Source organism: Homo sapiens, chromosome 18, assembly GCF_000001405.40.
Source record: "Homo sapiens chromosome 18, GRCh38.p14 Primary Assembly".
NCBI classification, from domain to species: domain Eukaryota; kingdom Metazoa; phylum Chordata; class Mammalia; order Primates; family Hominidae; genus Homo; species Homo sapiens.
Window position 1 is genome coordinate 13,653,162 of NC_000018.10, and position 16,229 is coordinate 13,669,390.

The 16,229-nt window shown below is 42.8% G+C and overlaps 1 protein-coding gene across 3 annotated transcripts in view; it reads right to left on the minus strand.

Annotated features, from left to right (window-relative positions):
• Positions 1 to 10,185: 10,185 nt before the first annotated feature.
• The window catches only part of FAM210A (family with sequence similarity 210 member A), a 63,212-nt gene continuing 57,168 nt past the window's right edge, over positions 10,186 to 16,229 (minus strand). For all 3 annotated transcript variants that reach the window (NM_152352.4, NM_001098801.2, XM_024451083.2), the window contains one exon: positions 10,186 to 13,552. In NM_152352.4, coding sequence (NP_689565.2) covers positions 13,319 to 13,552 — 234 coding nt within the window. In that variant the 3' untranslated portion in view covers positions 10,186 to 13,318. The remainder of the gene's footprint in view (positions 13,553 to 16,229) is intronic.

A 16,229-nucleotide genomic window follows, 5' to 3' on the forward strand; every position in this document is an offset into this window, starting at 1 on the left:
ATGACAACTATTCCACAATGGAACAGACCCCCTCAGTGTGTGTTTTAAACTCCTTGGCATTGGAGGTCTCCAGTCAGTGATAATGTAACAACAGAGAGGCTCTAAATTTCCTACACCGAGAGACTAGAATAGTATTATCTCTATGCTCTAAATAAGAATATGGGTTCACAGATGATGACTGTGTGTGCATAAAACCCCACACGATCTACCAAACTACTAAAGTGGATTTAGCATGGTTGCAGGATATGCAATTTATTTTTGCATTTCTATGTACTTATAATTAGCAAATGGAAACTGAAATTTTGAAAATACCATTCAAAATGGTATGGGCCCCAAATTCTGGTATGGGCCCTAAATTCTAATGGTACATCCATTTTCGATTCTGAATTAAATTCTTTCTTTAAGATTATTTTGGAAAGGGGATTTGAAGAGAGCTATAAGAAGGAATAGAGCAATAGGAAAGTTTCTTTCCTGTCAAACAGCAAATAGTCACTAATTAACCACACCACACTCTGGAATAAATTCTGTAATCTCTGAATTTAGCAAACCATTAGAGAAATATTAAAGATACCCCCCAAATTTGCTAACGCTAACAACTATGCAAACTTTGTTCCTGCAGACAGCTCTGCACAGAAGGAATGAGGGGAATCCAGGCTTGGGATCCCTGCTTATGCAGACCATAAGCAGCAAATCCAGTAAAACCTGGGACTGGCTTCTCACAACGGAGACACAGGGCTCCTCTCTCCCCCACTGTCCCTGGGAGGCTGTACCAGCTGTCACTTTAGAAGCTGTCTCAGAGCCAAGGATGTGGGAACTGTTAGCAGAGGAAACAGGCAAATGAGAGAGGAGAGAGAAAATACAAAAGGTATGCTGAGCTGGTTCCCACTACGGGCCAAGGGGTTCAGCCACACTCGAGAAACCATGCAGGCTGTGCCTCTGAAGGACAGGAGGCTGGGACATCTCATCTGCCCACTGCTGAGGAGTGCCCTTACAGGTTCATCTTCCCAGCCACCCTGGCTGTGGACTGAGCAAGCTCAGAAGGCTTCAGCAAAATACCTGAGACAGAAAAACAAAGGCTTGGAAGTGCTTGGAAACTGCTGGTGCACAAAGGAACCGCCCGCTCTGGCTGGAGCTGAAGCGTGGGAGCCAAGAAGCACTCGGCTCAGATGCCTCGGAGACAGTGCAAACCAAGCGACAGACAGAACGGGCGGGGTTGGAGGGGATGATGGCAGGGAGAGAGGGCAAGCGCTATGTCCAATGCCCACACCACTGCCTTCTGTCTGAACCCCCTCCTTGACGATGGTCTCGACACCACCCTGCCCTGGGCCTCCTTAATGCTCCAAAGCTCGTGAATTTGGGTTCTCCATTGTACTTCAGTGCCACCTGACTGTTCCCAAACCCCTCCAACTTCTGAAGCTAAGCAATTCCTGGCTTTCTTTCACCCACTTATTTTAGTCATTTGTTTTGCAAACAGAAGTGTCAACAGCTGAGCAGAATCCACCTGGCCACACACTCACCTGGTTGCCCTCTCCCCACGGCCAGGGGGACTGCCAGAAAGGCATGCTTGAAATAATCCCTTGGAACCTTCCAGAGACCCACCCAGAGTGGGCCATGGAATAAAGCCCCTATTCTGCTCTCCCATGATGACATGTGCACAGCATATGAGTCTGTTGCTGAGAACATTCTAATTAGATTTCCTTCACTACACTGCCTTGATGTTTTGTTTGAATGGATTCTAATTCAAACACACATTTTAAAACAGCTTCCCAAAAGTCTTAATGTCATGTTTCTGTCAAGACTCTAGCTTTTGCCTTAATAATGCAAACCTCATTCACCCAACTTTACCCTTTCATGCTAAAAAAATCAGAAGTGCAAAAGCTCAGTTTTTGAACATAGCAGAGTGGTGACTAAAAATACTTTCTAAAGGACTTACTAGTAAGCACATACATTTTTTTTTATTATTCTAAAAAAAAAACTGCAGCTGTATATAGCGGCTCTTATATCACTTTCCCTGCTTACGAAGCCATTTTCATTTACAGAGTTGTATTTGTCTCCACTGTTACCAGTCATCTATAAGCACAAAACGTTCTGGCAACCTACACCAGCACCTAGAGCAAGCCACTCCACGCAGGCCCGGGGGCCACTCCACGCGGGCCCGGGGGCCAGGGCTTCAGGGCAGTAGGTGAGGCGCTGTATTTGGCATGGGATTCCCAGGTGATCTGGCTCCTTGAATATTTCCCGCTTACAGTTAAAGGGCAGCACAGGCTTTGAATCTTAATAGACCTGGGTGGTCCGAATATTAGCTTCATCTCAAATTAATTAATGTCCCTGACAGGTTTTAAAGTCTCATCTATAGAACAGCAACAGCGATACTTACCTGGCAGGACAGTTGTGAAGACCCAAGGAATGTGCACGCCGTAGGGCCTGACATGTGGGGCTCCTCGTGAACCATGGCTGTTATCGCTAAAACTTTCTTGTTCTAGGCTGGGCGTGGCGGCTCACGCCTGTAATCCCAGCACTTTGGGAGGCCAAGGCTGGCGGATCACGAGGTTAGGAGATCGAGACCATCCTGGCTAACACGGTGAAGCCCCGTCTCTACTAAAAATACAAAAAGTTAGCCGGATGTGGTGGCACGCGCCTGTAGTCCCAGCTACTTGGGAGGCTGAGGCAGGAGAATCACTTGAACCCGGGAGGTGGAGCTTGCAGTGAGCTGAGATCATGCCACTGCACTCCAGCCTCAGTGACAGAGCAAGACTCCGTTTCAAAAAAACAAAACAAAACAAACAACTTTCATGTTCGAGATTTAATTTAAAAATTTTTTGCCTGAATACAACAGATTTGTAAATGCCCTTCGCCTTTGGAATGCCCTCCACACTAAATGGCTGCAGCTTAAAATCTCAATGAAATAATCACAGCACTCTGGGAGGCCGAGGGGGGCAGATCACCTGAGGTCAGGAGTTTGAGACCACCCTGGCCAACATGGTGAAACCCCATCTCTACAAAAATATAAAACTTAGCCGGGCATGATGGCAGGTACCTGTAATCCCAACTACTCAGGAGGCTGAGGCACGAGAATCGCTTGAACCCGGGAAATGGAGGTTGCAGTGAGCCGAGATCATGCCATTGCACTCCAGCCTGGGCAACAGAGGAGACTCCATCTCAAAACCAACCAACCAACAAACAAAAAAACATCCCAGTGAAATAAACAGGTGCTGATTTTATGCCCAGCAATGAGTACCACAGGGGCTTAGAGCACCGAGTGACAAGGCAAAGACCAAGTCACTGGGCCCAGAACTTCCTTTCCATGAGTTTGAGATCAGCCTGGCCAACATGGTGAAACCCTGTCTCTACAAAAAATACAAAAATTAGCCAGGCATGGTGGCGGGCGCCTGTAAGCCCAGCTACTCGGGAGGCTGAGGCAGAAGCATCACTTGAACCCGGGAGGCAGAGTTTGCAGTGAGCCGAGATGGTGCCATTGCACTCCAGCCTGGGCAACAAGAGTGAAACTCCATCTCAAAAAGGGCATTCCTAACTTCTGAGGGAACACCTATCAATCATCAGAAAGCCATTAGGAGATTATTATTGGCTGTACAGAAACCTAAAGAGGTGGCAGTCTTACACTGCTGGGGTCATCAGAAGGGAAAGGAAAGAGAAATAGAAGGGAACCACCAAGCGGATATTGAAGCCAAAAGAGCCGCAAGGCAGGACCCTCCATTAGAAATGCTTATAGAAGGACCTCTAGTATGGGGTAATCCCCTCTGGGAAACCAAGCCCCAGTACTCAGCAGGAGAAATAGAATGGGGAACCTCACGAGGACATAGTTTCCTCCCCTCAGGATGGCTAGCCACCGAAGGAAAAATACTTTTGCCTGCAGCTAACCAATGGAAATTACTTAAAACCCTTCACCAAACCTTTCACTTAGGCATTGATAACACCCATCAGATGGCCAAATTATTATTTACTGGACCAAGCTTTTTCAAAAATATCAAGCAGATAGTCAGGGCCTGTGAAGTGTGCCAAAAACATAATCCCCTGCACTGCAGGCTATACATTTCAATCCCTGTATCTTTAACCTCCTTGTTAAGTTTGTCTCTTCCAGAATCGAAGCTGTAAAACTACAAATAGTTCTTCAAATGGAGCCCCAGATGCAGTCCATGACTAAGATTCACTGTGGACCCCTGGACCGGCCTGCTAGCCCATGCTCCGATGTTGATGACATCAAAGGCACCCCTCCTGAGGAACTCTCAACTGCACGACCCCTACTATGCCCCAATTCAGCAGGAAGCAGTTAGAGTGGTCATTGGCCAACCTCCCCAACAGCACTTGGGTTTTCCTGTTGAGAGTGGGGACTGAGAGACAGGACTAGCTGGATTTCCTAGGCTGACTAAGAAAATCCCTAAGCCTAGCTGGGAAGGTGACGGCATCCACCTTTAAACACGGGGCTTGCAACTTAGCTCACACCCGACCAATCAGGGAGTAAAGACAGCTCACTAAAATGCTAATTAGGCTAAAACAGGAGGTAAAGAAATAGCCAATCATCTATCGCCTGAGAGCACGAGGGAGGGACAATGATCAGGATATAAACCCAGGCATTCAAGCCGGCAATGGCTACCCGCTTTGGGTCCCCTCTGTTTGTATGGGAGCTCTGTTTTCACTCTATTAAATCTTGCAACTGCAAAAAAAAAAAAAAAAAAAAAAAAAAAAAAACCTCCATCTCAAAAAAATAAAATTAAAAATAAATAAATTACATCTGTTTCTTCTACTTCATTACTTTAGTTATACAGTTGTTTTAATGAAGCACTCTGCAGTGGGGGCGGTGTTTATTATAGCCTTTGTAACAAAATGTGAAAACCCAGAAGGACCTAGGGAGAATAAATGGTTCAAAATCATTTGGCTTCTTGCCTTGCTTCCCCCACACCCTCTCCTGCCCTTCCTCCTTTCCTCTGGCTTTCCTTGTCTGAAGGATTCAGGGAAAGCACACGTGGATCTGGACACTGTCACTCACCATTCTCTCCACTTGCCTAGCTCAGTCCTGAAGCAGCCCTGGATGCACCCAGGGTCCTCGGGCAGCCTCTCCTGTTGACGGGCCTTCTCCTTCTGCGTTCCCTCTGCTGACACTGGCCGACCCACCTCCTTCAGGAATGATATGTGCAAGCACTTAGCCTTGTGCCTTACTGACAACGCCACTGTAAACCCCAGAACACTTTCCTCCTGTCTCTTGCTCTGATACTTCTTTCACCATCTGCTGGTCTCCCTCTGCAAGGGTTCCAGCCAAGGAGAACCGGCGATGGGAGAGGCAGGGTGCCTCAACCTGCTGGGTCCTCAGCAGCCTGATGGAGGGGCCACCGCTTCTACAGGGTTCTCACCACACTTGCTGTTTAACCACCATGAGTGACAAAGGCAAATGCCACACAGCAATTCTAAGCCCATCAGGTGCATGAGACACCAAACACCGCTCACAGACACTGCGGAGGGCACAGACTGGCTGTGTAGCAGGCACTGCAGTGCAGAACTGCCCACACAGTGTATGAGGGGCCAGGGTTTTTGTTTGATTTGCATTTTATTGTGGTAAAAATACTTAACATGAGAGCTACCCTCTTACCACATTTTTAAGCATATAATACAGTACAGGTTTTAAGGTTGGTAATTTTCATGGAATTCAGAGGCCAACCTCTATATTTTGGTGAAAACTAACAGTTCTTAATCTGAACTACTCAACACTAAAATTTTCCACAAATGGCAGCTTCTGATCACTTCAGATGTTCCAGTGATTGGTAGCAATTAAATGGAAAATTCCAATCTGAGCTGGCTCCAAGTATGCCACAAGTACAGGATCAGAAGCTATGACCACTGTCTGACCCTCCTCACAGCAGCAAAGCAGGAAACAGCAAACTCAGTTTGTACCAACGGGGCAATGGGGAATTTCCTGAGGTCAAATCCTCCTTGGATGTGTGAAATATTTAAACTTAGACGCAAAGAAACTAGATTTAATAACTGTTGCCATTACTTGCCTTCTAGTACGGATTTGGATGTTTCAAAATAGTGGCCGAGCACAGGGGTTCACACCTGTAATCTTAGGGAGGCCAAGGTGGGAGGATTGCTTGAGGCCAGGAGTTCAAGACCAGCCTGGGCAACCTAGTGAGACCCCCCCGGCTCTACAAAAAGCGAGCAAAGAAACAAACAACAAAACTGAAATTAGCTGTGCTTGGTGGTGTGCACCTGTAATCCTAGCTACTTGGGAGGCTGGGGTGGGAGGACTGTTTGAGCCCAGGAATTTGAGGTTGCAGTGAGTTACGATCCTGCCACTGTGCTCCGGCCTGGGCAAGAGAGCCAGATCCTGTCTCTAAAAAAATAAATAATTAAAAAAAAAAAGAAAGGGGCTGGGTGCAGTGGCTCACACCTGTAATCCCAGCACTTTGGGAGGCTGAGGCGGGTGGATCACGAGGTCAGGAGTTCAAGACCAGCCTGACCAAGATGGTGAAACCCCGTCTTTACTAAAAATACAAAAATTAGCCAGGCACGATGGCAGGCACCTGTAATCCCAGCTACTTGGGAGGCTGAGGCAGAGAACTGCTTGAACCTGGGAGGCGGAGGTTGCAGTGAGCTGAGATCGCACCACTACACTCCAGCCTGGGCGACAGAGCAAGACTCCATCTCAAAAAAAAAAAAAAAAAAAAAATATATATATATATATATATATATATATATATATATATGTAATTTATATATGGAAATAGCTACCTAATGGCTTTGCCAACACCAAGCCCACCCAGAAAGTGACAGACATCACTGAACTGGCTCACATAAGTCTCCCATCTCATAGTCCATCCCAGGTGAAGGAGAAAATGAAGCTGGAGCATGAGAAATTTTAATAAATACACGTTTCCTTCCTGCAGTCAGAAACTGAGGTCACAGAAGTGACTATCGTCCCATCCTATCACTTTAAGGACAAAAAGATGAAAAGAGATCTAAAAGAAGCTGAAAGGCAAAGAAGATGAAAGCACCAGCAGAGGAGGAAGGAAAGGAATATTTATAATAAATTGACTTGAGCTTCTGTCTCCAAAAATACAAGGGATTTCAGAAGCCCCAAAGCCTGGCCTCTTACCTGAATAATTGGCACCAAAGGAAAGCACTAAACTGGAAGTTGAGATCCCAATTTTAAATCCAATTCTTTTGTATTTCTTTCTTCAACTAAAAATATTGGTTCTAATGTGACCCATGAAATGTCAAATTCATTGGTTCTATAGGCGTAGGGTTTATGTTGCAAAAAACTATTAATCTAAAATGTGTTTGAAATGCAATTAATGAATGTTTCTCAACAAAAATTGCATTAGGTTTTGTGGACATATTTGTTCAATAATATTCTCAACTTTTTGTTGGAATATGAGACTTTTATTTCGGGACCAAAAGAAGTGAGGAATGCAAACTGCGACCCACTGTATCCTGCATCTTCTTGAATAATGAGAGGATAAGAAGTGCATGTTGATGCAACACTATGGCAACAAAGCCCTGTAATTCCAGCTCCAGGCTGCAGCTGAGCACGTGAGGACTTTTGGCACCCTTATCATAAGAGAACCAGAGTCGCCACTATTCTTAGAGAAGCAAAGCAACTGCACTAATTAAGTCACCATATTAAGTGTCCAAAGAAAATACTGACTCAAATGGAATAAAATACACACTAGTCAAAATATGCTTCAGCCATTATAAAGTCACAAATCTTGTACAAAGAGGAGCACAGACGGTAAGGCTGAAATACACGTGTATGAGAAAATGCCATGTGTTCATTAAAAAAAAAAATCACAGGTTTTAGAGTTAAACATCTAATTGGTATAACAGAAGATCCAGAATTGCCATCATTTCTTATCACATGCTTAGAATAGCCTTTACGGAACTATCAAAATAGAGGATAAGGCTGACCTTTGCCATGTATTTGATTAAAAAATGAGGGGAAGTTCGTTTTATCAAAATAAAAAGGATGAAGTTTAGGTTTTAATGTTGTTTCTCTAAGAACTAAAAATGGCCTAGTATCAGTCAAATGCAGCTGGAAGTTCACTGTCCTCTTTCTGGAGACAGTGTGCCTATCCTCCCCTAGAGACTGCAACAGGGAGGCCCACACAGAAGCGTCAAGCAGAACGTGTACCTGACATGCTCAGGGCAAATTTGTCTTTTTCTTTCTCACTTCAAAGTTTTTCTAACATTTACATTGTTCAAAATCCAAAAGAGAAGAAGCTGGACAGAGGGAGGGAGAGGGAAGGGAGGTTGTGTTCAATCCTCACTTTCAAGGACAGTGAAAATCTGCTTTGGCTGCAGGCAGGACGTGTTTAATTGTATTCAACTTTTCTTATGGGGCATGTTGTCCCAGAGAAAACGCACTGAAACATGCTTCTCCACAAGCGCCCTTCATCTGTAGAGACTTGATACTCTGAGAATGCCTCTGGCGGCCTGTGCATCTCTCCACTATGACTGTCCAATCAAGTCACCGGAACAAAGAACAGGCTTCATGTTATACACTGCCCTGGAGGTTTCTGAAATCAGGATGCATTCTTTCTACTAAGAAAATAATTCTTATCATAATTGCCACAAGATAATTATGATCTGTAATTATTATTGTTGGTGACTGTCAATGATGCATAAAGAAGAATACAGCTTGATTTTCAAAGCCTAACCCTGAAGAAGCAAGACAATTAAAAGCTTGTTTTGACTACTTAAAATGAACAAACTTGACACAAAAGTCACAAAGGAAAAATTCTAGAGGGAAAATATCATCAATTGGCCTGACTCAGCATTTCTCAAAGACAAGTTACAAGCGCCAAATGCAGGGGAAAGATGTTTCAAGAACCAGAAGGTCAGGCCAAAATTCATGATTGCAGATGAATTCTGGGAAGGAGGTGTGGTCCCCCAGACCATTCAAGTCCAGAAAGGAAGAATGAGGTCTTGACTCCCATTGTCCTCAGGGAACATGATGCAGTACGTTCTGCAATCTCATTTAGTACTAACTTAATACTACATAACATACAAATGATCCAAAAGAGAACAATGTTAACATCTGCAAAATGAATAGGTAAAATTCCCCACCTCTGGTTCTATAGATTTCTGGCTCAGGTGGTTGAATTCCAAGGCAGGCAGCAAAGAGGCTCCCACTTCTCTGAGTGCACATGTGCCACTCAGGCATCTGGGCCAGTATGATCAGACACACTGAGACACCTCCATGCTCATAAGGACAATTGAGTAGTGAGCTTTCAGTACCAAAAAATGTAAGTGGCTTGCAAAAAAGATATTTAAACAGGTACAAACAACTTTGGTGACATTTAATCTATTTTATTTTAGGCCTTATAGAAACTCAATTTTGAAAATAAAAAATAAATGAAGGCCCCCATTTCAAAAAATGAACTTTGGCCAACAGAAAAAATATGTCCACATTACCTAACAAGTTATATTTTCAGAAGGAATCCTTTAATTCAGAAATGTGTATCTCACAAAAACATCTTCTCAACATATCATTTCAGAAAAAGCAGGAAAGATGACTTTTTTTGCCTCATTGGCTAAAAATCATCTTCTGTCCATTCCATTGTAATTACTATCTTCTACAGCAGCCTGATTCATGTCTGAATTGGTTAAGAAATCCTGAATGACCCAAACCCAACACTAAGAACACAGAAAGAAGCTCAGTGTGTCAAATATACAATTTCCTTCTTTTCTTCAAACATCTTTCTGCGCATACTATTAAGATCTTTAAGGCCAGGCGCGGTGGCTCATGCCTGTAATCCCAGCACTTTGGGAGGCCGAGGCGGGCGGATCACGAGGTCAGGAGATCGAGACCATCCTGGCTAACACGGTGAAACCGTCTCTACTAAAAACACAAAAAATTAGCCGGGCATGGTCGCGGGTGCCTGTAGTCCCAGCTACTCGGGAGGCTGAGGCAGGAGAATGGCGTGAACCTGGGAGGTGGAGCTTGCAGTGAGCCGAGATCGTTATCACTGCACTCCAGCCTGGGCGACAGAGCGAGACTCTGTCTCAAAAAAAAAAAAAAAAAAAAAAAAAAAAATATATATATATATATATATCTTTAAAATTCCTGGAATTATCATCTAAGATCACTGAAACAAGAGAGCCAGTATCTCCATTTCATCCTGAGCATAAAGCATTTGTAAGTAAGTGTAGATTCTGTGACAAATAAACACACGATTATATTTCAAGGGATAAATTTATTATTTTCACTACTGGGAGGTAGGTAATCTCAGTATAAGCATTCTTTTTCTCCTTTCTTGAAATCTGTAAACAGCACCCTGCTGTATGTACAAAAGGCTGTCTCAGTGAAATACATTTTTTGATGTGGTTGGTTTTGCTCTTATTCCTGAATAAACTAAGTCTCTCACCTAATCCATCTTTCATTTCAAATATCAATTTGCTTAGCAAACCCTTTTTGTGCATTTTACACAGGCGAATCTCAGTCCTAGCTCCCTCCCCACCCGGTCAACACACCTCGCATAAATGCAGACATGCCTTTAGCCAGGCATGGTGGTGTGCACCTGTAGTCCCAGCTACTCAGCAGGCTGAGGTGGGAGGATCACTTGAGCCAGGAGTTCAAGACGCAAGTGAGCTATGATCATGCCACTGCACTCTAGCCTGGGTGACAGAGTGAGACTCTGTCTCAAAAAAATAAATATAAATATAAATATAAATGTAGACATGTAAGACACAGGGCTGCTTCTGCCGAGCACTCGCAGTTCACAGAGGTTATAGGTGAATTAATCCCAAGTGTGAGGTGTACTGTAAATGAAATGAGGTCTATTATACATAGCAAACTATACTGTATATATTCTCAATTATTTAACTTGGCATATTGGTACTGTATTCTGTTAGCCTGCTATTAATACTCCAAACTCAACATATTACAGGAATCCCTGAAACTTAAGGACTAGGTTAGCAATATGCTAGCAACAACATTTTTGTAACATTCCTGGTGCCAAGTAATACAACAGAGCTTCTCACATCTTCAGAGCATTTTTTACTAGAGAATTTCATATCATTCAAGCAGTAACTCATTGTCTATTAGACTAACACAACATGATCATGAAACTGGATGGCAACAAAACTCAAATGGACTAACAAAAGATGTCTATGCAGGAAAAGCAAATTTTAGTTTCAGGATTATTAGTAATAAGAACCTCCAATTTATCCCCACTGGAAAATATGCAACATGAAAAGTAAAAGGAAATTGTTTTAGAAAAATTCCATATAACACAAGATTTTCACATAGTCTCCAGTGGTTAAAAAGAAAAAAGAAACAAGGAACATGTTTAATATCTTAAAAAACAGCACTTAAACCTGCAAAAATGTGAATTATTTGATAAATACTTAAAAAACATGTTAATCATGTTTAGATTTGAAAATGTGGCATCAATGTGAAGCAGTGCATTCAACCCTCTGTATCAGGAGACAGCGGTGCTGCCTGCCCAAGACTGCAGAGAGCAGAGACACAGCTGCATCTCTCAGCACTCTCCCCGGCCCCCAAGAAGAGATTCCAATCACAGCATATTCATTTAAAAAGCATTCTAATATAGTAATTAGACTCATCAAATACAAACTTTTTTTCCCCTTTAAACTATACTCTAAATTTGGCCAAACTAAGTACTTGATATAAAAATCCTGGCAAAGAGCAGGGGTCCCTGCGGGACTGTGTGGCAAACCCAGACATTCTCTCGCCTTAGCAGATAAGTCAAAACAAGGACAATCTAAGAGGCCATTCCCTCATCCAATTAGCAATTGAAGGGTTAGAACTGAAATAGTCACTGTTAGAGCACAGGAAATAGACACTTACATACTCAAACACACCCCACCAGCCCCGCAACGCTCACAGCTGACAACGGCTGAATTTCATTACAAGCAAATGATTTAATGATAGCTTTGTTAAGATGGTGAAACCCCATCTCTACTAAAAATACAAAAAAATTAGCTGGGCGTGGTGGTGGGCGCCTGTAGTCCCAGCTACTCGGGAGGCTGAGGTCAGGAGTTGGAGACTAGCCTGGCTAACATGGTGAAACTCCACCTCCACTAAAAATACAAAAATTAGCTGAGTGTGGTGGCACACGCTTATACTCCCAGCTACTTGGAAAGCTGAGGCGGGAGGATCACTTGAACCTGGGAGGCAGAGGATGCAGTGAGCCGAGATTGTACCATTGCACTCCAGTCTGGGAGAGAGAGAGGGAGGCTCCGTCTCAAAAAAAAAAAAAAAAAAAAAAAAAATCAAGTAGAATGCTCAAACAAGGATATTTCCCTTCAATGTAAGACAAAAAGCAGCAGCCACAATTTAAAACTTTACTCCATAATGAAATCAGCATGAATTCTGAAACTAAGACATTGGGAAATTGCACTGGTTTGCTGAGGCAAGGCCCATGTCTACCCCAAGGAGTTAGCAGTCTCCATGAAAACCTGACTCCATTTTTAGTCTCCCAAACCTTTTTCTGCTTGAGAACCATGAGCTTGAGTTACTGCTGACAAATATTTGATTTTAACAATGAATTTAAGGTTTAATGATTTTTTACCTTTCCTCTGAAAGACAGTTGAAAAGGACACAAATGATTCACAACAGAGGTTTATGTTTGAGGTGATCACCACTAATACACACTTTGAAAAGTACCATCACCATATATATATTTGCTTTAAAAAAATTATGACAAGCTTCAGGTAAAAATAATTTTTAAAGGGTCCATTTTTCATTTACGTACAATCAGTACATCTTATTTACATATATGACTGGATCTTTATTCTATTTTCTTCATATAAGATATTTTAACTGGTAGGTAACTGCTCTATTCTGTTTTTATAGAAAGACTAAACACCTTATTTACAGGCAGTTTTGATGATGCTAGTTTGTCTCCAAATTACGTACTGAATATAGTTAAAATCTTAATGAATAACATAAAAATTAAGATCCGGTATTAACAGACTATTTTATGGGTCACACTGGATATTCAAGGAGTCAGCTGCCTAGTATGTGTCAATTACAGCTGCAACAAAACAGAAATCAAGTGTGGTTCTGAAGACCTTGAAAAAGAAGTCTGACTTCTAAGACATTAACCACTGCTTAATACTGCTACTGATGGCAAATTCTTAAACTGGGTTCATTTCTTCCCTTGTAATAACACTGATTTTTCTAGTGATATTTAACTTTAAAAAGGTATTTTACTTCTTTAACCCTCAGAGAACTAGTATATTTCGGCAACTAACCAAAAAAATAATCAGACACATGTATCTTTGCCCATAGTTTCCAAAGGGTTAAAGTGCAGGAATTTTCTATACTGCTATATAAGGCACCTTATTCCACTTTTTTCTTAAAGGAAACTTTTTCTTTGGTTTCTTGTAACTTTTCAGTGAGTCTATCTTTTGTTTCTTCCATTTTCTCTGTGATAAGCTCCTTTGTCTCTTCCATCCTGTCCTGCAGATACTCCTTGACGGGTGGCGGCGTGGACATGTAGCCATGACTGCGCAGATACTTCACAGTGACAGATGTTCCTCCCAAAGTCACGGTATACCGAGCAGGTGTTGCAATCTTAAGCAAAAAGCAAACAGAGGCAAATCAAAACCTGGTTATTACTGTCATCTTAAGCAAAAACAAGTTAAAATTAAAATTCTTGGTAATAACCCATCAGAATAAATTGCCTCATTGTTTCACAAAGCTAATGTAGTAATATCCTATATGGTTTTCCCTCCTAACAAGAGATATTTCTTCTGTAAACTCATTTTATGAATGTTTGTCCTCTACACAATCCTGACCCAGATAACAGAATCATAGCACTGATGTCCCTAATCGCATGCTAGTAAACTTGGGGGACAGGTCAACCTGGAAATCAGAAAGAGGACTCAGTACCAGTAAAAATAACAGAGGAACACATGTTTCTATTCCTTAAAAGCCCTGCCATCCTGCCAAATGCTTTCTATCTGGAGCTAAACTAGAACTGAATGTCTTCAAATGGTGAGAGGCAGAGCATGAAACCACTCTCTGTTGGGATTTAGGTTAGCTTCACTTCCAAATCCCTTTCCTTTGACTTTTCTAAACCTATGCTACCTTCTCATCACAATCTACCCTGAGTCTCAAATCCTAGCCACTAATTTACACAAGGCCAAAAGTAGTAAAATGGCACACCTGCTGCAGACATGCACAGGTTTAACGTTAATTGGAACTTTTAGGACCAATACTAAATAGCAGATGGATGACTGGTCAAAGAGAACCATACAAGTAAAAAGGCTGCATCATATTCTAAGTCAAAAATCAGGTTGGGTGCAGTGGCTCATGCCTGTAATCCCAGCACTTTGGGAGGCTTAGGTGGGTGGGTCACCTGAGTTCAGGAGTTCAAGACCAGCCTGGCCAACATGGTGAAACCCAGTCTCTAATAAAAGTACAAAAATTAGCCGGGCGTGGTGGCAGGCACCTGTAATCCCAGATATTTGAGAAGCTGAGGCAGGAGAATCGCTTGAACCCGGTGGCAGAGGTTGCAGCGAACCGAGATTGTACCATTGCGCTCCAGCCTGGGCGACAAGAGTGAAGCTACCTCTCAAAACAAAACAAAACAAAAAACATAGGTGTTGGCAGGTACAATGGCTCACGCCTATAATCCCAGCACTTTGGGAGGCTCAGTCGGGAGGGCTGCTTGAGCTCAGAAGTTCAAGACTAGTCTGGGCAACATAATGAGACCCTGCCATCTCTTAAAACACAAAGAAAAAGAAAGAAGAAAAAGAAAAGAAAAATACTTAGCCGGGAGTAAGTGGCATGTGCCTGTAGTCCCAGCTACTTGGGAGGCTGATGCAGGAGGACTGCTCGAGTCTAGGAGTTCGAGGCTGCAGGGAGCTGTGATTGCACGACTGCACTCCAGCCTGGGAAACAGCAAGATCCTGTCTCAAACGAAACAAAACAAAATGCATAGGTGTGTTGTATAACAAAACTTTGAAAGAGCTGTCTGCTCTATCTCTAATTTCTCTCCTAAACTCACGTTAAGCAAGCTTTCACCCATACCTCTTCACCAAAACTGCTTTCAAAGTCACAGTGACCTCTACAAAACTAAATCCAGTTGTCAATTTGGAACCAGCCCCTGAACCACTGGAACCATCCCACACAGCTTTCACCTTCCCTTCACTTGGCTCCAGGCCCTCAACTTGCTGGGCTTCCTTCTAGTTCATGGCGGCTTCTCATTTTTGCCAATTCCTCCCCTTTCACCCACCTCTGAACGTGGTGTGACAACATTCGATCCCTGGACCTCTTATTTTCTCTACCTATCTCACTCTCTGGTCTTTAGTGCCAACTATACATGGATGATTCTTAACTTTAATCTCCAGACTGAACTTTTCCCCTGAATTCCAGTATATACAACCACCTCCATTTGCATATCTAATAAGATCTCAAACTTAATGCAGGTGAGTCACTTAATGGGGATACGGTCTGAGAAATGTGTCATTAGGTGATTTTATTGTTGTGTGAAACTTCACAGAGTGTACTTACACAAACCTAGATGGTGTAGCCCTCTGCACACTCAGGCCACAAGGTATAGCCTATTGCTCCTAGGCTACAAACCTGTACAGCACACTACTGTGCCGAACACAGTAGGCAATTATAAGACCACAGTAAGTATTTGTATACCTAAACTATCTAAATGTAGAAAAGTTACAGTAAAAATATGACATTCATAAAAACATGGGACCTATGGGACCATCACTGTCTGTAGTCCATGGTTAACCGAAATGCTGTTGGGTGGCACATGACTGCATGTTCAAAACTGACCTTCGGATCTTCGACTGTCCTACTTCAAACCTGCTTCTCTCAAAGTCTTACTCATCTCAGAAAATGGCAATTCTATTCTTCCAGTTGTCCGGGCCAAAAACTTACAAGAAAGCTTCAACCCCTCTTTCTTTTCCATAATTTATATCCAAACCATCAGAAAACCCCAGCAACCACGTCTTTAAAACGTATCGAGAATCCAACTACTTCCTGCTACCACCTGGGTTCTGGCCACTATTGCCTCTCAACTAAAATACTGTAATCACCTCACCTCACACCAGGTCCCTTGGCTTCTCCCCTGATCCCGCCATGGTCTGTTACTAGAGCAGCCAAAGTGATTTTGATGGAACAGAGGCAGGATGCTTAAAATTGTCCAGTGGCTTTCCATGTCCTCAGGGTAAAAAGCAAAGTCCTTTTAAGGGCCAACAAGGCTGTCCTGATCTGATGACACGCCATT